The sequence below is a fragment of the Homo sapiens genome, chromosome 3 (assembly GCF_000001405.40).
Source record: "Homo sapiens chromosome 3, GRCh38.p14 Primary Assembly".
Lineage (NCBI taxonomy): Eukaryota > Metazoa > Chordata > Mammalia > Primates > Hominidae > Homo > Homo sapiens.
In genome coordinates, this window is record NC_000003.12 from 182,973,101 (window position 1) to 183,000,910 (window position 27,810).

The 27,810-nt window shown below is 44.2% G+C and overlaps 1 protein-coding gene and 1 long non-coding RNA gene across 12 annotated transcripts in view, besides 2 other annotated features; one reads left to right on the forward strand and one right to left on the reverse strand.

Moving 5' to 3' along the window:
* DCUN1D1 (defective in cullin neddylation 1 domain containing 1) overlaps positions 1–12,818 on the reverse strand; it is a 47,845-nt gene extending 35,027 nt beyond the window's left edge. For 3 of the 11 annotated variants that reach the window (NM_020640.4, XM_047448338.1, XM_011512912.3), the window contains exon 1: positions 7,387–7,438. In NM_020640.4, the coding sequence (NP_065691.2) occupies positions 7,387–7,389 (3 nt within the window). In that variant the 5' untranslated portion in view covers positions 7,390–7,438. Of the gene's footprint in view, positions 1–6,744; positions 6,943–6,975; positions 7,439–7,734; positions 7,836–12,691 lie in introns of those variants that run through there. The other 8 variants (NM_001308101.2, XM_011512914.2, XM_011512915.3 and 5 more) reach the window with 7 other exon arrangements.
* Positions 7,107–7,226: a silencer, noted in NCBI's record as "silent region_14934". NCBI's record gives its function as "represses an Ori minimal core promoter by ATAC-STARR-seq in GM12878 lymphoblastoid cells {active_cell/tissue: GM12878}" and the evidence as "EXISTENCE:reporter gene assay evidence [ECO:0000049][PMID:35858748]".
* Positions 7,287–7,726: a silencer, noted in NCBI's record as "silent region_14935". NCBI's record gives its function as "represses an Ori minimal core promoter by ATAC-STARR-seq in GM12878 lymphoblastoid cells {active_cell/tissue: GM12878}" and the evidence as "EXISTENCE:reporter gene assay evidence [ECO:0000049][PMID:35858748]".
* Positions 7,707–13,633, forward strand: LOC105374246 (uncharacterized). Its single transcript, XR_924771.2, has 2 exons — positions 7,707–8,387; positions 13,459–13,633. It is a non-coding gene; the product is annotated as an uncharacterized LOC105374246 (long non-coding RNA).
* The last annotated feature ends 14,177 nt before the right edge of the window (positions 13,634–27,810 follow it).

The following is a 27,810-nucleotide window of genomic DNA, read 5'->3' on the forward strand; positions in this document are numbered from 1 at the left end:
GAGGAACGTTCCAAGACTTCAGTGGATGCCTGAAAACACAGATAGTATAGAACCCTATATATACACATATACACTATGTTTTTTTGACCTGATAACTAAGAGAGCTACTAAGTGACTAACAGTGGGCAGTGAATACAGCATGAATAAGATGGACAAAGGGATGACCAACGGCTGCAACAGTGAGATTTCATCATGCTAACTCAGAACAACGCACAATTTAAAACTTATGAACTGTTTATTTCTGGAACTTTTCATTAATATTTTCAGATCACCAGTTGATTGCGGGTAACTGAAATCGAGCAAAGTGAAATCACAGACAAGAGGGTATTACTGTACTACTAAGTCCAGTAGGAATGATATACATACTACGTAATTATTGTGCACAATGATACATTATGGCAATCTACCTTTCAAAAATTCAGAAGTGGCCGGGCGCAGTGGCTCACGCCTATAATCCCAGCACTTTGGGAGGCCAAGGCGGGCGGATCATGAGGTCAAGAGATTGAGACCACCCTGGCCAACATGGTGAAACCCCGTCTCTACTAAAAATACAAAAATTAGCTGGGCATGGTGGCGTGCGCCTGTAACCCCAGCTACTCAGGAGGCTGAGGCAGGAGAATCACCTGAACCCCGGAGACAGAGGCTGCAGTGAGCTGAAATTGTGCCATTGCACTCCAGCCTGGGTGACAAGTGCGAAACTCCGGCTCAAAAAAAAAAAAAAATTCAGAAGTATATCTGTAAGATTCAAATAGATTTTGTAGACTTTTGTATACTTTTCTTAACAGGTTTTTAAAAAGTAGGCAACTAATGAAAATTTAAAAGATTTTCTCTCCACCCCTCAGAATTACTAGTCAAAATTACAAGTCAAAAGGCCAGCCGCGCCCGGCCTTTTAGGAGGTGCACTCCTTTGGGAGGCTGAGAGGGGCGGATCACTTGAGGTCAGGAGTTCGAGACCAGCCTGGCCAACATGCTGAAACCCTGTCTCTACTAAAAATACAAAAATTAGCCGGGCATGGTGGCACATGTCTGTAATCCCAGCTACTCAGGAGGCTGAGGCAGGAGAATCGTTTGAATCCAGGAGGCAGAGGTTGCAGTGAGCCGAGATTGCACCACTGCACTCCAGCCTGCGCAACACAGAGTGAGACCCTGTCTCAAAAAAACAAAAAACAAAAGTTATTTTTGCTAATTTCTGATTATGATAAATAAAAAATAACCATCTTAAAATACCTGGATTAGTCATCATATCGCAATTGATTCTCTCAAACTTGTTTCTTGAACTTCTAACAAGAAATCCAAGTAGCTAATTTAAATTTACTTTCCTTTAACATTGTTTTCTAAAGTAATCTTAAATTAACAAAAGATTACTGAGGCCAAAAAAAAAAACCAACACACAAAAAATGAAAAATTAAATGAGATTTTTAAAATTCCACGGTTAAGTTCTAACATACTATATTTGTTTCACAGACAGAATAAATGATCCTTGAAAAATAAAATCTAATTCTAATATTTGATATTTTCTCAAATCCTAAATCAGGAAGTATTAGAATCCTCTGAATAAACACTCCACATGTTTATTAAAATGAAAATACTCTAATAAGGGAATGGGCTGTGTACTTCAGCAACTTATCTCTGTGTTGAGTGATTCAAAAGTATAATAGACTTTAAAAAAAAAAAAACTAAATCCCATAATGCAGACAAGCAGCCTAATCACTCTCAGTGACTAGGTACTAATTATATAAAACAAATTCAATAAAGTAATAAAAGACTATTTCAGTGATTTTTTTTCCTTCTGTTTTGCTTTTTCTTGTGGGGGTGGGCGCACACCTAAAGTGGCTATATAAATTAGTCAAGAGCTTGTTTCTGTCCACAAAGCAACTGAATCCTATTTGGAACTATTTCTCTTCATCAAATTTCATGGCAAACACAGTATTGAACAACTTAATACTGAAATTTAAAAGGAGTTTTCTCCCAGACTTTCCTTATGCTTGACCCAATCTATAAGAGCACAATCAAAGCAGCCACTTGACCCAAATGACCTGTTCTTTTAAAACTTTTTTAAAAAAATTAACACAGAATTTTTTTTTTTTTTTTTTTGAGACAGGGTCCCGCTCTGTCGCCCAGGCTGGAGTGCAGTGGTGCGATCTCGGCTCACTGCAAGCTCCACCTCCTGGGTTCACGCCAGTCTCCCGCCTCAGCCTCCTGAGTAGCTGGGACTACAGGCGCCTGCTACCACATCCAGCTAATTTTTTGTATTTTTAGCAGAGATGGGGTTTCACCGTGTTAGCCAGGATGGTCTTGATCTCCTGACCTTGTGATCCGCCCGCCTCAGCCCCCCGAAGTACTGGGATTACAGGTGTGAGCCACCGCGCCCAGCCAAAAATTAACACAGAATTAACTGTACCTCCAACTTTCTTACTATATGCACCAAAAGTTATAATTTTTCAATTACTTAATGTTTACATCAGATCATTTGATTGGATATGGAAACAACTAGGTCACTATTATTCAGCATGACAAGGAAGAAACCAGAGTAAAACTAAACAAAGATTCCACATCTACACTGAAGGAGTGCTTGCTGGGTTAAAAAAAAAAAAAAACAAAAACAAAAAACAAAAAACAGAAAAATGGGAGTAGGTGAGGGTCAGGGGGAGATAAAAGTGTGGAACCAGAGACCAGGGTCCTAACCCCTGCTCTGCCACATACTAGCATGAAATCATTTAGAATCGCTAAGCCTTCATTCCCAGATATGCTAAAAAAAAAAAAAAAAAAAAAAAAGTAGTAATAATGCCTATTTCAGAAGTGGGAGTGGAGATTAATGACAATTGTAAATTGTCTGACTAGTAGAGTGTACCTTCTCGATAAATGTTAATTTCGTTTCTTTGTCCCCAAAGGCCCAGTTTTCTGCATATAGTCACTGAACTACATATAAACCACTAGAACATATTCAACAATCTATCAAAGAGGTTTGGTTGTGTTTTTATTAACCCTAGTGTGGCTAGGTATACTTGATAATCCATTAGTTTTTATTGAACATTAGACAGTCATCTTAAACAGAATTCAAAACTCTGTACATAGAAGCTGCATGGTAAAGAAAACTGTAATAAGGGTCTTCTGAAAAAACTGCTTTTAAAAATAATTATCTGTAATACTGTCACAGGACACTATGGAACAAAAAAAAACAAGGTATATCGTACCACTCAGAATCCTTCAATGGATTTCCATTTCTCTAGGATAAAAGCCCAGTATCCTTACAGTGTCCACCCATGCCTACCCCCACTCCTTGCCACCTAGGCCTCATCTGCTCCAACGACCCCCTGTATATACACATGTACATATACATACATACACACACACACACACACACACACACACACACACACACACACACTGCTCCAGCCACATTGGTCTCACTGTTCCTCAAGATTTCTACATTTCTGCATGGCTTATTCCCTCATCCCCTACTCTGTTCAAAATTATCTCATTGGTGATACAGATATTTAGCAACCCTACTTCCATCAATGCCCTAGCACCCCCAATCCCCTTCCCTAACACTGCTTTCTCCCACAGCACTTAACACCTTCTAACATAGTAAAGAAGAAAACTATATACTATGTTTATTATTTATGTCTCCCTACTAAAAGGTACCCCTCACCAGAGTGAGGATTTTTGTCTCTTCTGTGATATATACATCCCTTCAGTGCCTAACACTATCTCTAGCACACAGCAGACGTATAATAATCACTGAAAAGAACTGATAACCTCCTTTATTTGTAGACATGCAAAGAATGTGCAACAAGTTATGAAAAGACAACCTTGAATAGACCTACATGTATTTGAATTTACAAATTCTAGTATTTGTTGACAACATAATCTTAAATTTCAAAGTTCATATATATTTAAAGCCATTGAAAACATAGGCATTAACATCATTGATCACCCATTAATATGAATTTTGTTACTTAACATATTCATAAATAACATGGGGTTTCCTGTGTTTAAGTGATGGATATGATTTAATTTCAAATGTAATTTTCTGGATTTCATATGAGTTAACAGATAATACTGGGGGAAATGGTAGACCAGGAGAAAATAGTTTCAGTTCTGCAACCAACAATCCTGCAAACCTGAACCTCAAAACCTCCTTGATATTCAATTTCTTCTTGTGTAAAAATGGGGAGGAGTAATTAGATGATCTCTGAGTCTATTTCAGGTCTAAAAATTCTATGATGCTATGAGTCTAAAAATCATTAGAATCATAAAATGTCTATGCTGGATGAAACTTTAGAAATCATCAAGTCCAATCCTGCCATCTTATAAATAAAACAACCCACACGTTTTGAACACTTTTTTTTTTTTGAGACGGAGTCTCGCTCTCGCCCAGGCTGGAGTGCAATGACGCGATCTCGGCTCACTGCAACCTCCTCCTCTGGGTTCCAGTGATTCTCCCGCCTCAGCCTCCTGAGTAGCTGAGACTACAGGCCCCCACCACCACGCCTGGCTAATTTTTGTATTTTTAGTAGAGACGGGGTTTCACCGTATTGGCCAGGCTGGTCTCAAACTCTTGACCTTGTGATCCGCCCACCTTGGCCTCCCAAAGTGCTGGGATTACAGGCGTGAGCCACTGCACTCAGCCGAACACTTTTTAAAAATATGTTTCAGGCTGGCGTGGTGGCTCACGCCTGTAATCCTAGCACCTTGGGCGGCCGAGGCAGGTGGATCACCTGAAGTCAAGAGTTCGAGACCAGCCAGGTCAACATAGTGAAACCTCGTCTCTACTAAAAATACAAAAATCAGCCGGGTATGTTGGCGGGCACCTATAATCCCAGCTACTTGGGAGGCTTAGGCTGGAGAATCGCTTGAACCCAGGAGGCACGGGTTGCAGTGAGCCAAGATTGCACCACTGCACTCCAGCCTGGGCAACAGAGCAAAAACTCCATCTCAAAAAAAAAAAAACAACAACAACAAAAAACAAGTTCCAAAGTAACAGAATATTATCTAATTTTGGAGTCGTTTTTAGTCTGTGTGTGGGGGGAGGGAGGAAGTTAACAGAACTTTTTTACTTATACAAAGTATTTCAAATATCCCATCATTTAAGTTTGCTCTAGAACTGACAATAACATGTGCTCTGGAAATGGGCTGCAGCTACAGACACCAAAAAACTCACAGCCCCGAAACTGCATAAAGAAACAAATATATGTAAGATAACTTTATAATGAAACAACTTCTTAACTATAAAATTCTTACTGCCTAACTTCGATTAGGGCCAGTGGTGAGTCTCTTTCCTTTCTTATTATTTTTTTTAAGAGACAAGGTCTGTTAGCCAGGCTGGAGTGGTGCAGTGGCAGGGCTCACAGCAGCCTCAACCTCCCAGCTCAAGTAATCCTCCCACCTCATCCTCTGGAGTAGGGGCAACCACAGGCTAGCACCAGCATGCTTGGCTATTTTTTTTCCTTGGGATGGAGTCTCACTACTATGTTGCGCAGGCTGGTCTCAAACTCCTAGGCTCTCAAGCAATCCTCCTGCTTCGGTGACCCAGGGTGCTGGGATTACAGGCATGAGCCACCGTGCCCAGCCCCTACGGTGAGTTAGCTAAACCAGAGAATATCACGACAATTCTCATGACATAAACTGAGTTCAGCCACAGGATATGTTTTAAATTAATATCTTGTCACCACTGGTAGAATTACATGGGTTATGGCTAAGTTTCAAAACTAGCTAATTTTAATATTAACCAAAAGAATAGAAGCTTACAAGCTGAACTCTCCCTACGAACCACTTGATGCCTGAATTCCTGAACAGGTGATGAGTATTTCCGGGACCCCACTGTCTAGGGGATGATGCGGATCTGGAGACCATCCTGAAGAGCACACATTTCAGCTGTGGCTGAGTGTTTCCCAGGGAATTAACGTCATTACTTCGAGCTTACTATACTTATCTAAATGCTAAGAGTCTGGAAACTTCAGGAGTAATGTCTATGACCATCTAAATACTTAAGAAACTAGAAACTGTTTAGACTGCCTGGTGGATCTCTGAACACTGTAATACTAATCTATACATTAACCTGCACTTTAAAGTTTTCTTACCAATTCAAACTGTAAATTCCTACACAACTTGCCACAGAACATAAGTGTTAAATATGTGTCAGACTAAACCATATATCCATACATGACAACAAAATACTGCCAAGCTGGAGGATGGGACTAGAAGTGTCATTCAGCAAAAATAAGACCAACTAAAAACAAAGACACTGGAGCATTCCCTTAACACAGGCGCGCACACACACCCTCCTCAAAGAGGCCTTTATGTTCCCCACGAGCAAAGGACAACAATATCATTTTTACTATTCATACAGTAACCTGCACGGAATTCAACTCACGCTCAGACTGTACAATGCCAAACAGCGCTTCTGAAACGCGAAGAGCGTCCAGCAGAGTCAGGTACTTAATTACCAAAGTAAACAACTCGACCACAAGGGTCTGCAAGCCTGGAGAGGACTTTTTCCCCCCCCCAAACAAAAAAGGAGAGTAACTTGACAAACTGTTTTAAAAAAAATCACAAATGGCCCTTAACTACTATAATAAAGCAATTACTCCTCCCACCCCCAAGCAAATAAAATAGGTGCTCGAAAGGGCGCTCGCTAGTCTGTGTTCCCTAATTTTATGAAATGAGAACAGGTTGCACTTCCGTACCCCCTCCCCCAAGCTCAGCAGTCTCCCATGTTTTCAGTAGAGAGGTAAATATAACCTCCACCAACTGGCCGGGGAAACTCTCCTTCTCCAAAAGCATGGGACGCCTCGAGAGGTGATGGAGAAAGGAAAAGGGCTGATACCCCGCCCCAAGCAAAACTGCCTGGGAGACTTGCGGGGTATTGGAGCCGGGAGCGGAGGAGGGAGAGGCGCGCCGGGAAAGTCTTTCCTTCTCCCCGGCCGGGCGGAGAGGGAAGCCCCGGCTTCGGGGCGGGGGGAGGCTACTCACCCGGAACCCCAGACCCCAGTCCCCGACCAGACACAATGGAGCCGGCAGAGGGGCAGGGGCAAGGCCGTTGCCCCCTCCCCTCCCCCCGCCCCAACGCCTCCCCCACCCGCGCCGGGCCCCGGCAAGGGGCACCGGGGCCGCTCCCCGCGCCCCAAACTCCCCGGGGCTCCCGACTAGGCCCGGCTCCGCTCCGCCTCCTCGGCTCTCGCGTAGCGGCTGCGCCCGGGCGGGAAGGGGCGAAGGAGGAAGGGAGAGGCAGGCAGGAGAGCCCCCGCCTGGGAGCGGGACGGAGGCCGCGGGCCGAGGCTCGGGGCTGCAGGGTCGCCGCGGGACGGAGGGCGGCCGGGGCGGGGGTGCGCGGCAGCGCCGGCCCCCAGCCGGCAGGGCGGGCGGGCGGCCGCAGTGCCTCACCATGTTGGTGTCCTCCAGGCCTCTCCCCTCCTCCTCCGGCTCCGCAGCGAATGGACGGCGGCGGCGGCGGCGGCTCCTCTCACGGGCTTGCCCGGCTCCCGCTCATGCGCAGTGCGGGGCGGCCCGGCGCGGCCCGAGGAGGCAGCCCCGGACCTCGGGGAGGCGGAGGGACGGAGGCAGGCGGAGGGCGCCCCGCGCGGGGCTTCCCCCGGGCGCGGGGGTCCCCCGGGGAGTGGGCGGGGGCGGGGGGCGCGGCGGGGGAGGGGCGGGCGACGCAAGCCCTCCGCGCGCCGACATCCTCCTGCCGCGCCGGGCGGTCTCTGGTGGGGGCGCCGGGGGACACCCCACCTCCGTTTCCTACGCGGTTCCTTCCGGACGACCACGGCCGGGTCTACGCAGGCTGGAAGCGGGCACGAGCGGCGGCGGATAAGTTGAGCAGCTGGGGGCGGCTGAAACGGATGGTTGAGGAGCTTCATCCATCCCAGACCTCCCCTCCCCATCAGTATCAAAAAAAGGGAGAAGATAGTGGAAACACCTCCCCCTGCCCCGTGTTTTCTTCTTTTTCCCCCCAATCTCAGTATCAGACCTACATCAGTTCCCTCGCGTGGGCATCCCAGGGGAGACCTTAGTCCCCCCCCTGCGGTGGCTGTCACTCCATTAGTGAGGACCAGGCTCTCCCCAGACCTGTCTACTGGGAGACAGTTGGGGTAACCCTATAGTGAGATGGGGTGGGGTGCACTGAGACCCAAGGCCGGGCTGCGGGAGTCCAGGTTGCCTGCCTACTGCTAGCTCTCAGTATCCCCTCAGTTCGGCCCGCCCAGGATAAGTTTCGGGAAGCAACTACACATTTTTTCACTGAGGGTCTAGTCACGCAGGGCGGACAGTCCAGGTGTGACCTGCCCTGGGCGTTAAATCAACTGAGGCTGAGGAGCACTAGGATTCTGAGCTGAGGATCAAGTGGACAAATTCGTGCTGCAAGGAGGACAGAAGACTCCTGTGGAGTAAGTGGTCCTTGCCCTTCAGAAATGTAGTATCCAGTTGGAGAGATAAGACACCTTCACACAGGAAGGAAATAAAACAGCTAAGAAAGCAAACTCACTCAGAAAGTCACATCTGAAACTGTACCAAGAGCTTACCTACGTTTCAGAACAGGACCCACCTGAGTAGACCCGTTATCACCATCATCACCAGCACAGGCATTAAACGACCAGATCAACCCTATAACTAATGAATTTGTTCTTACCAAAACAACAGAACTTCTTTGGTAACTCCCAAAGGCCTCCTAACTTCCTGGAGCTAGCCATGTACTGGGAGCGCCCAGCGCTGTACCAAGGCAGGTTTCTGGCGGCCACAAACCGTTCATCCATTCTTTCCCCCAATATTTAAAGAATGCATGTGAATGTGCCAAGCTCCTTGCTGGGCTCTGGGTAAATAGTCCTGCAAGGAGAAGCCAGATCTGCCTCATGCAGCAAGCCTGAAACTGGACTACATCCACGGAGGTTCTCCAGGAATTCACCTAGCTTTTGACCTAAAGTATTAACACCTAGGGCGTTAATGAGGAGGATTCACTGTATCTCTTACTCCAATCTGTTCTACTCCATTGAAATAATCGTTTGTGGGTTTTCCTAAGCTCTACCAAGGTACAGGCCTTAGTTATTCTAATTGACCTCTCGCCTGCGTTTGGACACTTCCTCCTTGAATTTCCTGTTCATTTTCCATGACTCCACCTTCTCCTGCATCTCCTCTTTACTCTGACCACTCTCCTTTGCTGGCTGTACTCAATTTAGGCTTTCCTGACCATTCCTGAACGTCCTTCTGTATACAGCCTGTGTCACGCTGTCACTCACATTCCCACGTCAACTACTGCCCATATCAAGAGGAATCTCAAATCTTGACTTCCAGTCCCCAAGTGACAGGCCTAAACACTCATTCTGGTCATTTCACAGGTCCATCAAGCTCACCAAATCTAAAACTTTATCCCCAAACCCACTTTTCCTCCTGCCTTTTATCAAATCATCCAAACTAGAAATCTAAGAATCATCCACCACTCTTCCTGCCTCATCCCCTTACTCCGCATCTCACCAGTTTTCCCTCCTAAATGACTTTTAAATCTGCACCCTGCCTTCTATTTCTTAGCCAATTCTTTTTGTTGTTGTATTTTTTTGTTTGTTTTTGAGATGGAGTCTAGTTCTGTCACCCAGGCTGGAGTACAATGGCGCAATCTCAGCTCACTGCAACCTCCGCCTCCCAGGTTCAAGCGATTCTCCTGTCTCAGCCCCCACCGAGTAGCTGGGATTACAGATGTGTGCCACCATGCCCAGCTACTTTTTGCATTTTTAATAGAAACAGGGTTTCACCATGTTTGTCAGGCTGGTCTCGAACTCCTGACCTCATGATCTGCCCCACCTCGGTCTCCCAAAGTACTGGGATCACAGGCGTGAGCCACCGCGCCTGGCCAGCCAATTCTTTATCATCTCTCCTCATCAGTAACTTCTTACCTAATCTTCCAGCCTCTACTCCTTCTCCACTGCTCCATAGTTGTCTTTCTATAATGCAAATGTGAATTTGTCCGTAAAATTCTCCAAGAGCTGCATAAGCATGAGCCTCTGGAATGGCATTAAAGTTCTCTCCTCTGATCTATCCATTCCCATTGCCATTTTCCACCACCCTCCACCCAAATGCACCTCATATTTCAGTTTTCACAAACCAAGACTGCCATACCTCTGCATGTTTCCTTGCTTTCTCCAATTCTCCTATCCCTGGCCTCCTAGCTAATACTGACTGAGCCCATGACACATACTAATTTATGTAATCCTCACTGCGACACATACTAACTCATATAACCTCACTTCTACCCTATGAGCATGCCCAGCTATTACGCCCATCCTACAAAGGGGAAAATGGAAGCACAGAGAGATTAAATAATATGCCTAAAATTCCCTAGCTAGGCCAGGCGCAGTGGCTCACGCCTGTAATCCCAGCACTTGGGGATGCCAAGGCGGGCAGATAACTTAAGTTCAGGAGTTCGAGACCAGCCTGGCCAACATGGCGAAATCCCATCTCTACTAAAATTAACCGGGCATGGTTGCGCATGCCTGCAATCCCAGCTAGTCCGGAGGCTGAGGCAGGAGAATCGCTTGAACCCTGGAGGCAGAGGTTGCAGTGAGCTGAGATCGCGCCACTGCACTCCAGCCTGGGCAAGAAGAATGAGATTCCACCTCAAAGAAAAAAAAAAAGAGATTCCCTAGCTAGCAAGTAGCAGAGCTAGGATTTGAAACCTGATAGTCTGGCTATCTGGTTAGTCTATTCTCTTGATTACCACATTATATTTCCCACCAAGATCTCAGTACTCAACTCAAAGACCATCTTCTCTATGATTGTCTCCTGACCTGATCCTTGGATTCCAGCAGTTAGGCAAGTTTCTCCCCACACCTTACATATACTTTTGTTACACTTATGACATTCATATGATAAGCATTTGCCAACATGACCATCTCCCCTGCCAGACTGCACTGCTTAAGGTCAGAGACCTGGTTGCACAATTCTTTGAGTTTTCAGTGTCAAAGTGAGTGCCTGACATATATGTGCTACATAGTCACAGTGGGATAAATTAATGAAAAGAAAGAGATATGTAACTGATGTCTGTCTTAAGACAGTGCCTATATTGTTTGTTATTGTAAAGGAATGCTTGTTCTCCTTGGCAGATGTATGTTATACCATATGGTCAGATGGTAAATGTAGTAGCAACTGTATCCATTACTGTACTTCCTGGCTACAGTACTGAATGTGAAATGGAGAATTATTACTCAATCATCATGATTGGGTGAGATAAACATATTTGTTAAAATTGTCCTGATTATTTTTTAAATGGAAAAGCATCCTGAAGATAAAGTATAAATTACAATATTTAACAAAATAATATTAACTAATATTCTCGTATTACTTTTTTTGTCATGTTTCAAATATTTAAGTTAAGGCTTTGAGTTTTTTCAAGTACAGGAGTTCTAATGACTATTTTCCATAGCAACAATCTCAGTACAATAATAAGAAATAAGATGGAAACATCTAGCCAAAATTGCCTATCTTGTCTATCTCTCCTCCTCTCTCTACCCCACCACCCCCAACACATACACACACACTCCCTCTCACTGTATACCTAAAACGATGAAAAAATTAATATAGTGCTCATAAATACGTAAATACTTCTTGCCACAAAAGCTTAAAAATTCATATTAAGACATAATATTCACTGATAAAATAGTTGCAGTTCTGCTCAAAGAAACATGTAAAAGTAAAGATTTCATACTTCTAGAATCTGTCTTTAGCAGAAAGAGCAGAAGTAATCTGAAAAGACAGATTGCTAACATTTCTGGTAGTTCATCTAGCTAAAATTAAGCCTGCAGGGTAAACTATACACAGACACAGTTCAAAGCCACTAGTCTGAGATACACAGCCACCACCCTCCCACACTTAACTTGGGTGCTCTCAATTTTGCCCAACATTTACACTAATGTCCTTATTGGATTCAAGCTTGCTGATTTATAAATACATAAGGGTAAATGCGATTGACTGATGGAACCTATTTTGTTTTCAGTAAAACATGGCATTTAGATCTTATGAATTCAGAATTATAACCATTTTTTAAAGGGTAAAGCAGACAGGACTAGGCCTCAGTCAGAGTGGGCCCTAGTGAAGCCACAGGAAGCCTAACATGAAAGCCACGGTTCCAAAGCTCATACCAAACTTACCAGAGTGGAGGCTAGAAGCAGAAGAACCTTTTGGCTCACCCCCCAGTGTTACTGGTGATACCAAAGGAATGACTGCCTGGGCCTCTTTCATCCACATTAAGAACCATGCTAAGGCCGGACTTGGTGGCTCACACCTGTAATCCCAGCACTTTGGGAGGCCGAGGCGGGCGGATCACCTGAGGTCGGGAGTTCGTGACCCAGCCTGACTAACATGGAAAAACCCTGTCTCTACTAAAAATACAAAATTAGCTGGGTGTGGTGGCACATGCCTGTAATCCCAGCTACTTGGGAGGCTGAGGCAGGAGAATCGCTTGAACCCGGGAGGCGGAGGTTGCGGTGAGCCAAGATCACGCCATTGCACTTCAGCCTGGGCAACAAGAGCGAAACTCTGTCTCAGAAAATAAAAAATAAAGTTAAAAGTAAATAAATAAGAACCATTATAAAAGGGATTCTTATCAGAACGAAGGGGTACACCTCAGGAACCATCCCTAGGAAGTTGGGCACCAGTACTCCTTTCATACAAAAGAACCAACAAAAGCAGTATTCCAGTGGGTCACCTTCTAAAAAGGAAAATGGGAATATTCACCAGAGCCAGTCTGTCACCTCAAGGTACATGTGGATCTGTTGATCTTAACTCCTCCACCCTCATGGTAGAGGCATGGACTTGCAGTAACAGCTAGGAGTGGAGACCCAGCAATGAGAAACTGTCCAAGACCACCAATGATGATGTCACAATGTCCCACTGTCCCAGAGTGTCTACCCTGGACCGCCCTGCCCACCCCAGCTTGGCCACTCCTAGATGAGACCAAGGCTCAGCCTGGGGTGTTTGTCCTTGACAGCTCCGGTCAATTGCAGAGAATGAATTCATGAAAACCATAATGAGTGATCCAGTTCCACAGGTAGCAAGGTAGAGGGTCCTCTAGAATCCTGGACGTTTGTCCCTGGATACTTTTGGAAATCCTCACTGAGACATTTTCCACCGATGATGACAGAGGGATGCTGGTATTGAATCACCCACCGCTTTCCTGTCTATTCCGTGAATAGTATATAAAGCATGAACATAGCCCTGAGCCTCAGCATTCTCAATTACAAAATGAGATTGAGTTGAATTACAATAAATTTCTGTCAAACCGTAACTTTGTTTGATTCCTTCCTGGTAGACTATTGTGAGCTGCCCTCAAAGATCAGAAAAAGTACAGCCAGTTGCATTTTTTCACTAATTCATTCACTCTAAATATATGAAGTGCTGAGACCAGCACTGTCTGACAAATATGATGCAAGTCACAAATGCAGGGCAAATAAGAAAGTTTACCTTTCCTTTTAGTGACATTTTACAAAGTAAGGAGCATCCTGATTGCTGAACACGTGGAGGTGCCTGCAGAGCGTCACCCCGGACGGCGCATGGACTCCCACAATGCCTTGCCCTGTGCTTCTCTTCATCTAAATTGTCTTTTGTATCCTTTATTATATACTTTAAATAAACTAGCAAATGGGCTGGGCGCGGTGGCTCACGTCTGTAATCCCAGCACTTTGGGAGGCCGAGGCTGGTGGATCACTCAAGGTCAGGAGTTTGAGACCAGCCTGGCCAACATAGCGAAACACTGTCTCTACTAAAAATACAAAAATAAGCCAGGCATGGTGGCGGGTGCCTATAATCCCAGCTACTCAGGAGGCTGAGGCAGGAGAATCGCTTGAACCCGGAGGGCGGAGGTTGCATTGAGCCAAGATCATACCACTTTGCTCCAGCCTGGTGGAAGAACAAAACTCGGTTTCAAAAAAAATAAACAAATAAACTAGCAAATGTAAAATAAATGTAAAAAGAAACAACAGGCTTCACCTGTTTTGTTTCTAGCGTCTCTTTTTTTTTTAAATATTTGAGACACTGTCTCGCTCTGTTGCCCAGGCTGGAGTGCAGTGGCTCGGTCTCAGCTCACTGCAACCTCCGCCTCTCAGGTTCAAGTGATTCTCCTGCCTCAGCCCCCCAAGTAGCTGGGATTACAGGCACCCACCAACACGCCCGGCTAATTTCTGTATTCTTAGTAGAGAAGGGGTTTCGCCATATTGGCCAGGCTGGTCTCGAACTCCTGACCTCAAGTGATCTGCCCCCCTCGGCCTCCCAAAGTGCTGGGATTACAAGTATGAGCCACTGCACCGGGCCTGTTTCTAGCATCTTATTTAACCCAAGATATCCAAAATATCAGCATTTCAACATGTGCTCAATATAAAATATCAATGACATATATTACATTCTTTTTTCAAAGTATGTCTTTGAAATTTGATGTGTATATTATGCCTAACGTATACCTTAATTTGGACTAGCCATATTTCAAGTGTTCAGTTGCCTCATTTGGTAGTGGCTACCATATTGACCAGCATGTGCCTCAGCAGTGGCTGTGCTGGAGTAGATGCTCAACAATTGAGAGTAATAGTACTCTAACCTTCAAGAAATAAGTAAAAACCAAAACAAACCTGAAATATTTATATATAACCAAGAGTAAGCACAGAAATATTTAGTATTTGGAAAGTTAGCATAGTTCAATTGGAAAAAAGCATGTGGTAAGGGGAAATAATAATTATTCTTAAAAAATAAATATCTCTTGGATAAATGTTTTCAGTGTTTGTAGCAAACTAGGAAAACCACTTATACACATTTGTAAAATCTTCCAAGCATTTGTAATTTGCTTGACCCTGAACATGTTATCCTGTTCAATGTGATTTCTGCACAGGGATTTTTCAATCAAAATAAGACATATGAAACCCAGAAACACATTTCACAAGCACTTTAGAGTTTCGAGATGTTTTTTGTGGGGCACACAGTAAATAAGGAAATGTCATTTTCTCCATTTCTTTCGTGATACGTCACACTTTTAAAAGAAATTATTTGGGATGGATGAAGAGAGAAGAGTTTGGAGAAAGGGAAGGTTTTTGTGCAAATATTATAAAACCAAAAAAGGTTAGTATCAGGGTCAGGTTAGCCTATAGCACTGTGAAAGAGAAAAAAAAACAATAAAAATAACAAAATGTTAATACTGTGAGATGAGCATTTTGAGAATGTATGCACCAAAAGAAATCAATGAACGGGCCGGGCACGATGGCTCATGCCTGTAATCCCAGCACTTTGGGAGGCCGAGGCAGGTGGATCATGAGGTCAGGCGTTCAAGACCAGACTGGCCAACATAGTGAAACCCCACCTCTGCTAGAAATAAAAATTTTAAAAAATTAGCTGGGTGAGATGGCAGGCACCTGTAATCCCAGCTACTTGAGAGGCTGAGGCAGGAGAATCGCTTGAACCTGGGAGGCAGAGGTTACAGTGAGCCGAGATCACGCCACTGCACTCCAGCCTGGGCAACAGTGTGAGACCCGTATCAAAAAAAAAAAAAAAAAAAAAACAACAGCCGGGCGCGGTGGCTCACGCTTGTAATCCCAGCACGTTGGGAGGCTGAGGCAGGTGGATCACGAGGTCAGGAGATCAAGACCATCCTGGCTAACACAGTGAAACCCCGTCTGTACTAAAAATATAAAAAATTAGCTGGGCGTGGTGGCGGGTGCCTGTAGTCCCAGCTACTCGGGAGGCTGAGGCAGGAGAATGGCATGAACCCGGGAGGCAGAGCTTGCAGTGAGCCGAGATTGCGCCACTGCACTCCAACTTGGGCAACAGAGTGAGACTGCATCTCAAAAAAAAAAAAAAAAAAAAAAAAGAATCAATGAAGGAATCTAAAGGTAACACACACACACACACACACACACACACACACACACACACGCAAATAAAGGTGCAGTCCAGACAGCTTAATCTGTTGTGGGGCGTCAGAGAGACTCCTTCAGGGTATTTGGGCAGGGAGATGACAAGGCAAAGGTCTTTAGAGATCAAATGTGGCCCAGCACGGTGGCTCACGCCTGTAATCCCAGCACTTTGGGAGGCCGAGGCGGGCGGATCAAGAGGTCAGTAGTTCGAGACCAGCCTGACCAACATGGTGAAACCCTGTCTCTACTAAAAATACAAAAATTAGCTGAGCGTGGTGGCAGACGCCTGTAATCCCAGCTACTCAGGACGTTGAAGCAGGAGAATCACTTGAACCCTGGAGGCAGAGGTTGTAGTGAGCTGAGATTGTGCCACTGCACTCCAGCCTGGGCTATAGAGCAAGACTCCATCTCAAAAAAAAAAAAAGAGAATAGAGATAAAATGTAACATAGCAGCTCTTAATTGACCAAAAGTATAAAAGGAAAATGCTGTGGCCACAGATCACCACATTGAAGCAAAATAATTTTGTGGACAGCCTGGCCACAGAAGGGAGATGCACGGGATGGGAGCTGAGGAGAGAGGAAGGAGGCAGGAAGATCCATGTCAAGCCTGCCAGGGTGAGCTCTGGGGAGGTGTTGGTGACAGCACAATAGGCAGATCAGGTCTAGCTGGAAACAACTGCCACCACTTGGGAGGGGTTAAGAGGGAGGAAGGGATTATTTTCATTCTTGATCGATAGGATACAGCCCTACAGAGTAATAGCATAGCTGTGAAATGTGTAAGAGAATCCCTCGCTCAGCCTGTGCAAGTGTGACAGAGCAACATACCTTGGGTGAAGTGTATGGCACAGAGCCCAGCTTCCTAGTTCACCACCAATGAGCCAGGTGTTTTGCTGGGTTGCTTGTTTTTGTGCCTGAGAAGGATCTACGAGTTGATCCCAATCCTTCAGATGGATGATTTTTCTTTTTCTTTTTTTTTTTTTGAGATGGAGTCTTGCTCTGTCGCCCAGGCTGGAGTGCAGTGGCGCGATCTCAGCTCACTGCAAGCCCTGCCTCCCGGGTTCACGCCATTCTCCTGCCTCAGCCTCCCGAGTAGCTGGGACTACAGGCACCCACCACCACGTCTGGCTAATTTTTTGTATTTTTAGTAGAGACGGGGTTTCACTGTGTTAGCCAGGATGGTCTCGATCTCGTGACCTCGTGATCCACCTGCCTCGGCCTCCCAAAGTGCTGGGATTACAGGCGTGAGCCACCGTGCCTGGAGGGATGATTTTTCAAAGAAGTAATGGATAATATTGATAACCATAACCTTGTAACTTCACCGTAGTTGGAATTTTCCCCCCATAATGTGATCTCTACATTATTTGAAGTTCAAACCCCTTGATATTTTCTTTTTACAGTTTGTTTTATTTATGTTTAATTCAATTTTTATTTATTTATTTATTTGAGATGGAGTTTGACTCTTGTCGCCCAGGCTGGAAGTGCAGTGGAGTGATCTCTGCTCACTGCAACCTCCGGCTTCCAGGTTCAAGCAATTCTCTGCCCCAGCCTCCCGAGTAGCTGGGATTACAGGTGCCTGCCACCACGCCTGGGTAATTTTTGTATTTTTACTAGAGATGGGGTTTTACCATCTTGGCCAGGCTGGTCTTGAACTCCTGACCTCGTGATCCACCTGCCTCAGCCTCCCAAAGTGCTGGGATTACAGGCGTGAGCCACTGCGCCAGGCCAGTTTGTTTTATTTTTATATAACTTAAAAACTGAGGCGTGACATCAGCTTTGAAACTTTTGAAAAAGGCCTATGGGTTACATGAAAGAGTCATGGTCTAAGAGACTGGCTTCCAATTTGGCTGTCACCATATGGGCAACTCATCCCTGCCTTCTTTGAGCCTCAATTTCCCTATCTGGCAGTAAAAAGAGAAGTTTTGTCCTAAAATTTACATGGAATAGCAAAACAACTTTGGAAAAGGGTAACAAAGCTCAAGGACTTACATTTGCTGATTTCAAACCTTACTGTAAACCTATAATGAAACACTATAGTCCTGGCATCACACCTGTAATCCCAGCACTTTGGGAGGCCGAGGCAGGCAGATCACGAGGTCAGGAGATCAAGACCATCCTGGCTAACACGGTGAAACCCCGTCTCTACTAAAAATACAAAAATAGACATAGATTAATTGGAAATAATTGAGAATCCAGAAATAAACCTTTATATTTGTGGTCAATTGATTTTCAATAAAGGCATCAAGACAATTCAATGAGGGGAAGGATAGTCTATTCAACAAACGGTGCTGGAATAACTGGATAATCTTATTTAAAAGACTAAATTTAGACTTTATTTTGTACCATAGAGTATTAGTCCATTCTCATACTGCTATAAAGACTGGGTAATTTACAAAGAAAAGAGGATTAATTGGCTCATGGTTCTGCAGGCTGTACAGGAAGCATGACGGCTTCTGCTTCTGAAGAGGCCTCAGGAAACTTTTCCTCATGGCAGAAGGCAAACTGGGAGCAGGTGCCTTACATGACAGGAGCAGAACCAAGCAGTGTGGGGAGGTGCCAAACACGTTTAAACAACCAGATCTCACGAGAACTTACTATCATCATCACCAAAGGGGAAACCCCCCCAACATGATTTAATCACCACCCACCAGTCCCCACTTCCAACACCGGGGATTACAATTTGGCATGAGATTTGGGCGAGGACACAGATCCAAACCTATCACATACCAAAAAATTTAACCAAAAAATAGAACAGAGACCAAAATATAAGAGCTAAAACTATAACACTTTAGGAAAAACATAGGAGAAAATATTTATGATCTTGAGTGAGTCCGAAAGTTCTTAGACATAACCCCAAAAGCGCAATACATAAAAGAATGAAAATAGATAAATTGGACTTTATCAAAATTTGAAAGTTTGCACTTTAAAATACATCACTTAAAAAGTGAAATAATGGCCGGGCGAGGTGGCTCACCCCTGTAATCCCAGCACTTTGGGAGATCGAGGCGGGCGGATCACGGGGTCAAGAGATTGAGACCATCCTGGCCAACATGGTGAAACCCCATCTCTACTAAAAATAAAAAAATAAGCTGCGCGCGGTGGCACAAGCCTGTAGTCCCAGCTACTCGGGAGGCTGAAGCAGGAGGATTGCTTGAACTCAGGAGGTGGAGGATGCAGTGAGCCGAGATCGTGCCACTGCACTCCAGCCTGGGCAACAGAGTGAGATTCCGTCTTAAAAAAAAAAAAAAAAAAAAAAAAAAAAAAAGGAGAGAGAGAGAAAAAAAACAAGCCAGACTATAAATCATATAACCAGTAAAGGATCTATATCCAGAATATGTTAAAGACTTTAAAAACTCAATAGTAAGACAAGAAATCCAATTTTATTTTATTTTATTCATTTTATTTTAAAAATTTCTTTTCCAAGCAATATTACAATGAATATTTTTAGCCGTACATCCTGGAGTGCCTGTGTGGATATATCCGTACAAAAAAACTCTTCAAGGCCGGGCGCGGTGGCTCACGCCTGTAATCCCAGCACTTTGGGAGGCCGAGGCGGGCGGATCACGAGGTCAGGAGATCAAGACCATCCTGGCTAACACGGTGAAAACCCATTTCTACTAAGAATACAAAAAAATTAGCCAGACGTGGTGGCGGGCGCCTGTAGTCCCAGCTACTCTGGAGGCTGAGGCAGGAGAATGGCGTGAACCCAGGAGGCGGAGCTTGCAGTGAGCCAAGATGGCGCCACTGCACTCCAGCCTGGGCGACAGAGCGAGACTCCGCGTCTCAAAAAAAAAAAGCGAACAAACAAACAAACAAACAAAAACCTATCTAGAGAGGAATGTCTGAATTAAAGGGTATTTTAACAGATATTAATGCTTTACCAAATTGACCTTCAAAAAAGTTATGCCAATTTATACTCCCATTACCAGTGTGTGATTATACATTTACTACATATCTTGCCAAATCCATAGTTTTGTAATCCCCTTTACTTGTTGCCAATCTAATAGGTAAAAATAACAATATCCTGCTGTTTTAATTTACATTTTTAAAAATTTAGCTTTTAAGTTCAAGGGTATAGGTTTGTTATATAGGTAAACTTGGGTCTTTTTTTTTTTTTTTTGGTTGTTGTTGTTGTCGTTTTGAGATGGAGTCTGGCTCTGTCACCCAGGCTGGAGTGCAGTGGCAGGATCTTGGCTCACTGCAAGCTCCGCCTCCCAGGTTCAAGCAGTTCTCCTGCCTCAGCCTCCCGAGTAGCTGGGATTACAGTTAGAGACAAGATTTCACCATGTTGGCCAGGCTGGTCTCGAACTCCTGACCTCAGGTGATCTGCCTGCCTAAGCCTCCCAAAGTGCTGGGATTAGAGGTGTGAGCCACCTCGCCATGGGGGCTTGTTGTACAGATCATTTAATCGCCCAGGTACTAAGCCTAGTACCCATTTGTTATTTTTCCTGATCCTCTCCCTCCTCCTAGATTCCACTGTCTGATAGGGCCCAGTGTGTGTTGCTCACCTCTATGTGTCCATGTGTTCTCGTCATTTAGCTCCCACTTATAAGTAAGAACATGGAGAATTTGGTTTTCTATTCCTGTGTTAGTTTGCTAAGCATAATGGCCTCCAGCTCCATCCATGTTCCTGCAAAGGACATGATCTCATTCTTTTTAATGGCTGCATAGTATTCCATGGTATATATGTACCATGTTTTCTTTATCCTGTCTACCATTGATGGACATTTAGGAGGATTCCATGTCTCCGCAATTGTGAATAGTGCTGCCATAAACATACATGTGCATGTGTCTTTATAATAGAATGATTCATATTGCTTTGGGTGTATGACCAATGATAGGATTACTGGATCGAATGGTATTTCTGTTTTAGGTCTTTGAGGAATCATCACACTGCTTTCCACAATGATTGAACTAATTTACACTTTCACCAACAGTGCATAAGCATTTCTTTTTTTCTGTATACTCACCAGCATCTGTTATTTTTTTACTTTCTATTAATAGCCATTCTGACTGGTGTAAGATGGTATCTCATTGTGGTTTTGATTTGCATTTCCCTAATGATCAGTGATGCTGAGCTTTTCTTCATATGATTATTGGCCGCATGTGTGTCTTCTTTTAAAAAGTGTCTGCTCATGTCCTTTGCCCACTTTTTAAAGGGTTTGGTTTTTTCTTGTAAATTTAAGTATCTTATAGATGCTGGATATTAGACCTTTGTCAAACACATAATTTGCAAGAATTTTCTCCCCTTCTGTTGTCTGTTCACTCTGTTGACAGTACCCTTGGCTGTGCAGAAGCTCTTTAGTTTTATTAGATCCCATTTGTCAATTTTTGCTTTTATCACAATTGCTTTTGGCATCTTTGTCATGAAATCTTTGCTCGTTCCTATGTCCAGAACAGTGTTGCCTAGTTTGTCTTTCAGATTTTTATAGTTTTGGGTTTTATGTTCAAGTCTTTGATCCATCTTGAGTTAATTTTTGTATATGGTATAAGGAAGAGGTCCAGTTTCAATCTTCTGCTTATGGCTAGCCAGTTATTCCAACACCATTTATTGAATAGGGAATCCTTTCCCCATTGCTTGTTTTTGTCAAGTTTATTGAAGATCAGATAGTTAGCAGGCTTGAGGTCTTATTTCTGCGCTTCCTATTCTTTTCTATTGGTCTGTGTTTCTGTTTTTGTAACAGTACCATGCTGTTTTGGTTACTGTAGCCCTGTAGTATAGTTCGAAGATTGGTAACTTCATGCCTCCAGTTTTGTTCTTTTTGGTTGGGATTGCCTTGTCTATTTGGGCTCTTTTTTGGTTCCGTATGAATTTTAAAATAGTTTTTTCTAGTATTTTTTTTTTTTTTGAGACAGTTTAACTCTGTCACCCAGGCTGGAGTGCAGTGGCACAATTTTGGCTCACTGCAACCTCCACTTCCTGGGTTCAAGCAATTCTCTTGCCTCAGCCTCCCAAGTAGCCGGGGCTACTGGTACATGCTAACATGCCTGGCTAGTTTTTTCTAGTTCTGCAAAGAATGTCAATGGTAATTTAATAGGAATAGCATTGAATCTATAAATTGCTTTATACAGTATGGTCATTTTAAGGATATTGACTCTTCCTATCCATGAGCATGGAATATTTTTCTCTTTGTATCATCTCTGGTTTCTTTGAGCAGTGTTTTGTAGTTCTCCTTGTAGAGATCTTTCACCTCCCTGGTTAGCTGTATTCCTAGGTATTTTATGTTTTTTTGTGGCAGTTGTGAATGGAATTGCATTTCTGATTTGGCTCTCAGCTTCACTGTTGTTGGTGTATAGGAATGATAGTGATTTTGCACATTTATCTTGTATCCTGAGACTTTGCTGAAGTTTTTTTTTAATCAGCTTAAGGAGCTTTTGGGCTGAGACTATGTGGTTTTCTAGATATAGGATCATGTCATCTGCAAACAGGGATAATTTGACTTCCTCTCTTCCTATTTGGATGTCCTTTATTTCCTTCTCTTGCCTGATTGCCCTGGCCAGAACTTCCAATACTATGTTGAATACAATTGGTGAGAGAGGGCATTCTTGTGCCAGTTTTCAAGGGGATTGCTTCCAGCTTTTGCCCATACAGTATGATGTTGGCTATGGGTTTGTCATAGATGGCTCTTACTATTTTGAGGTATGTTCCTTCAATACCTAATTTATTAAGAGTTTTAACATGAAATGGTGTTGAATTTTATTGAAAGCCTTTTCTCCACCTATTGAGATAATCATGTGGTTTTTGTCTTTGGTTCTGTTTATGTGATGAATTGCATTTATTGATTTGAATAATATTGAACCAACCTTGCATCCCAGGGATAAAGCCTACTTGATTGTAGTAGATAAGCTTTTCGATGTGCTGCTGGATTCAGTTTGCCAGTATTTTGTTGAGGATTTTTGCATCAATATTCATCAAGGATATTGGCCTGAAGTTTTCTTTTTTTGTTGTGTCTCTGCTAGGTTTTGCTGTCAGGATGATGCTGGCCTCAAAGAATGAGTTAGGGAGGAGTCTCCCTTCTCAATTCTTTTTTTTTTTTCTTTTTCTTTTGAGACAGAGTCTCCCTCTGTCACTCAGGCTGGAGTACAGTGGCGCGATCTCAGCTCGCTGCAACCTCCGCCTGCCAGGTTCAAGCAATTCTCCTGCCTCAGCCTCCCAAGTGGCTGGGACTACAGGCGCGTGCCACCAGGCCCAGCTAATTTTTGTGTTTTTAGTAGAGACGGGGTTTCACCATGCTGGCCAGGCTGGTCTTGAACTCCTGACCTTGCCATCTGCCCGCCTCGGCCTCCCAAAGTGCTGGGATTACAGGTGTGAGCCACCGCACCTGGCCCTCAATTCTTTGGAATAGTTTCAGCAGGAATGGTACCAGCTCTTCTTTGTATAGCTGGTAGCATCTAGCTGTGAATCCATCTGGTCTGGGCTTTTTATGGTTGGTAGGCTATTCATTACTGACTCAATTTCAGAGCTTGTTATTGGTCTGTTCAGGGATTCAGTTTCTTCCTGATTCAGTCGGGAAGCTGTATGTGTCCAGGAATTTATCCGTTTCTTCTAGAATTTCTAGTTTATGTGCACAGAGGTGTTCATCATATTCTCTGATGGTTATTTGTATTTCTGTGGGGTCAGTGGTAATATCCTCTTTGACATTTCTGATTGTGTTTGTTTGTTTGTTTTTTGAGACAGAGTCCCACTCTGTTGCCCAGGCTAGAGTGCAGTGGCATGACCTTGGCTCACTGCAACCTCCATCTCCCAGCTTCAAGTGATTCTCCTGCTTCAGCCTCCCAAGTAGCTGGGATTACAGGCAAGTGCCACCACGCCCATCTAATTTTTGTATTTTTATCAGAGATGGGGTTTCACCACATTAGCCAGGCTGGTCTGAACTCCTGACCTCAAGTGATCCGCCTGCCTCAGCCTCCCAAAGTGCTGGGATTACAGGCTTGAGCCACCACGCCTGGCCCTGATTGTGTTTATTTGAATCTTCTCTCTTTTCTTCTTTATTAGTCTAGCTAGTGGTCTGTTTTATTAATTTTTTCCAAAAAAAAAGCTCCTGGATTCATTGATCTTTTGAGTGTTTTTTCATGCCTCAATCTCATTCAGTTCAGCTCTGATTTTGGTTCTTTGTCTTCTGTTAGCTTCGGGATTGGTGCGCTCTTGGTCTCTAGTTCTTTTAGCTGTGATGTTAGGTTGTCAAATTGAGATATTTCTAACTTTTCGATATGGGCATTTAGTTCTTGTTTTGTTTATTTGTTTGTTTGTTTGTTTTGAGACAGAGTCTCTCACTCTGTTGCCCAGACTAGAGTGTAGTAGCGTAATCTCGGCTCACTGCAACCTCCCCCTGCCAGGTTCAAGTGATTCTCCTGCCTCAGCCTCCTGAGTAGCTGGGACTACAGGCACGCACCACCATGCCCAGCTAGTTTTTTGTATTTTTAGTAGAGACAGGGTTTCCATGTTGGCCAGGCTGGTCTTGAGCTCAAGTGATCTGCCTGCCTCAGCCTCCCAAAGTGCTGGGATTATAAGTGTAAGCCACCATGCTCAGCCTGATTAGTTCTATAAATTTAGTTCTATAAATTTCCCTCTTAACACTGCCTTAGCTGTGTCTCAGAGATTCTGGTATGTTGTATCTTTGTTCTCATTAGTTTCAAAGAACTTCTTGATTTCTGCCTTGATTTCATTCTTTACCCAAAAGTCATTCAGGAGCAGGTTATTCAAATACCATGGAACTGCATGGTTTTGAGTGAATTTCTTAGCCTTGATTTCTAATTCGATTGCACTGTGGTCTAAGAAATTGAATTACTATGATGTCAATTCTTTTTTATTTCCTGAGGAGTGTTTTACTTCTGATTATGTGATGATTTTAGAGTATGTGCCACGTGGTGATGAGAAGAATGTATATTCGGTTGGTTTTGGCAGAGAGTTCGGCAGATGTCTATCAACTCCATTTGGTCCAGTGCTGAGTTCAGGTCCTAAATATCTTGTTAATTTTCTGTCTCAATGATCTGTCTGATATTGTCAGCAGGGTTTAAAGTCTCCTACTATTATTATGTGGAAGTTTAAGGCCCTTTGAAGGCCTCTGAGTACTTGTTTTATGAATCTGGCTGCTCCTGTGTTGGGTGCATATATATTTAGGATAGTTAGATCTCCTTGTTGAACTGAACCTTTTACTGTTATGTAATGTCCTTCTTTGTCTTTTTTATCTTTGTTGGTTTAAAGTCTGTTTTGTCTGAAACTAGGATTGCAACCCCTGCTTTTTTCTGTTTTCCATTTGCTTGGTAGAGTTTTCTCCATCCTTTTATTTTGAGCCTATGCCGTCATTACATGTGAGATGGGCCTTTGATGACAGCATGCCAATGAGTCTTGATTCTTTATCCAGCTTGCCACTCTGTACCTTTTAATTGGGACATTTGGCCCATTTACATTCAAGGTTAATATTGATATGTGTGGATTTGATTCTATTATCATGATGTTAGCTGGTTATTTTGGAGACTTGTTTATGTGGTTCCTTTATAGTGTCACGGTCTGTGTACTTTATTGTGTTTTTTTTAGTGGCTGGTAATGGTCTTGCCATTCCATATTCAGTGCTTCCTTCAGGAGCTCTTGTAAGGCAAGTCTGGTGGTAACAAATTCCCTCAGCGTTTGCATGTCTGAAAAGGTGTCCAAAAAGGATCTTATTTCTCCTTTGCTTATGCAGCTTAGTTTGGCCAGATATGAAATTCTGGGTTGGAATTTCTTTTCTTTAAGAATGTTGCATATTGGCCCCCAGTCTCTTCTGGCTTGTAAGGTTTCTGCTGAGAGGTCTGCTGTTAATCTGATAGGCTTCCCCTCGTAGGTGACCTGGCCTTTCTGTCTACCTGCCTTTAACATTTTTTCTTTCATTCCAGCCTTGGAGAATCTGATGATTATGTGTCTTCAGGATGAACTTCTTGTGAAATATCTTACTGGGGTTTTCTGCATTTCCTAAATTTGAATGTTGGCCTCTCTAGCTGGGTTGGGGAAATTCTCATGGATGATATCTTGAAATACGTTTTCCAAGTTAGTTCTATTCTCCCCATCTCTTTCAGGGACAACAATGAGTCATAGATTTGGTCTCTTTTACATAATCTTATATTTCTCAGAGGTTTAGTTCATTCCTTTTCATTCTTTTTTCTCTATTCTTGTCTGACTGTCTTATTTCAGAAAGCCAGTCTTCAAGCTCTGAGATTCTTTCCTCTGCTTGGTCTATTCTGCTATTAATACTTGTGATTGCATTATGAAATTCTTATAGTATGTTTTTCAGTTCTATCAGATTGATTATTTTCTTTTCTATACTGGCTATTTTGTCTGTCAGCTCCTGCATTGTTTTATCATGATTTTTAGCTTTCTTGGATTGGGTTTCAATGTATTCTTGCAGCTCAATGATCTTCATTCTTATCCACATTCTGAATTCTATTTCTGACATTTCAGCCATCTCAGCCTTGTTTAGAACCTTGCTGAAGAGGGGATGCAGTCATTTGGAAGAAAGAAAGTACTCTGGCTTTTTGAGCTGTCTTGCACTAATTCTTTCTCATATTTGTGGCCTCATCTTCATTCAATCTTTGAGGTTGCTGACCTTCGTATATATACTTTTCTTTTATCCTATTTGATGACCCTGAGGATTTGATTGTGGTATAAGGTGGATTCCGCTGACTGGCTTTGTTTCTGGAAGATTTTAGGGGCCCAGTGCTCAGCCTTCAACTCCTGGACTGTATGCTCTAACTCTAGGGGACTTGTATTGGGCCCTGACTTTCTTCTCTGGCTCCTCAAGATTAGGAATTTCTCTGCACTGTAAGGGGGTGGGGTGAGGTGCTCTTGGACCACTGGTCACTACACTCTGATGGATGGTGTCAGCCAAAGCATTTAGTAGTGCAGTGACAGCAGATCCATCCTCATCTGCACATGCCAGTAGCAGTGGTAGTGGCAGCTGTGGCAAAGAGCTAGCAGATGCTAGGGTGTCTGCCTCCCCGCAGGCATTCACCACAGTGGTGGAGGCAACACAGCTGGGGATGTGCAGGGGGCCTCTGCTGGTGACTGTGCATGTGGTTGTGCTGGAGGTGGTGTTGGCTTGGGGGCAGAATGCTGGCAGGTGCAGGTCTGGGTACCTTCTCTGTGCCCCACAAACAGGAGTGGTCACTTAGGGTGAAGGAGGATCTGCTCTTCTCTACACAGTGTTAGTGCAAGGGTGGGGTGCTGACAGGGGCTGGGCTGGCGGGCTCTGTGTTCGCCAAGGCTCCGATTGCAATGGTGATCAGTGGGGGAATGGGAAGTGGCTGCATTCCCACACTGGCAGGGCGAGGAATGCAAAACCCACCCAGGCAGACACGTGCCAGCAAAGTGATGTGGGGAGCTGCCGCGGACCCCAGGGAAGCTGCAGTTTGGGTAGGGAGTGTGTGGGCTGGTGTGTGGCTGTAGGGGCCACCCCTCTGGAGCTCTCCACCAGTCACACACAGTCCACCAGCACAGAATCTATGGTGTGGGCCCCCAGGGCACCTGAAGCTGACTTGCAAGCAGACGTAGCCAGGCTGGGGCCCATCAGACAGTGCCAGCAGATCAAGGAGTGCTCGGGTCCAACTGGCCCTGTCTGATGGACAAGACCGCCCTGCAGAATTCAGGTCCGTCAGTTCCCCTAGGGCAGAAGTCTCTTATGGGAGCAAGTTGAATCTAGGGGGATGGACATCCTGGTCATGCTGTGCTACAGATGCTCCCACATGAAACCTTTTGGGCTCCACATCAGCTGGTGTGCTGCCCCTATCACTTCTCTAAGCAGCTCTCCCTGCCAAATTGAGTATCTGTGGTGGTCCAGGGGTCTCCTCCTGCCACGGTTCCAGAGGCCCATGGTGAGAGTGGATTGCTCCTTGCCAGTTCAACTCACCCATTCCCCCAGAGCTCTTGGGGGCCAGGAAGGAGTCCAGGTGTGCTTAGCCTTGT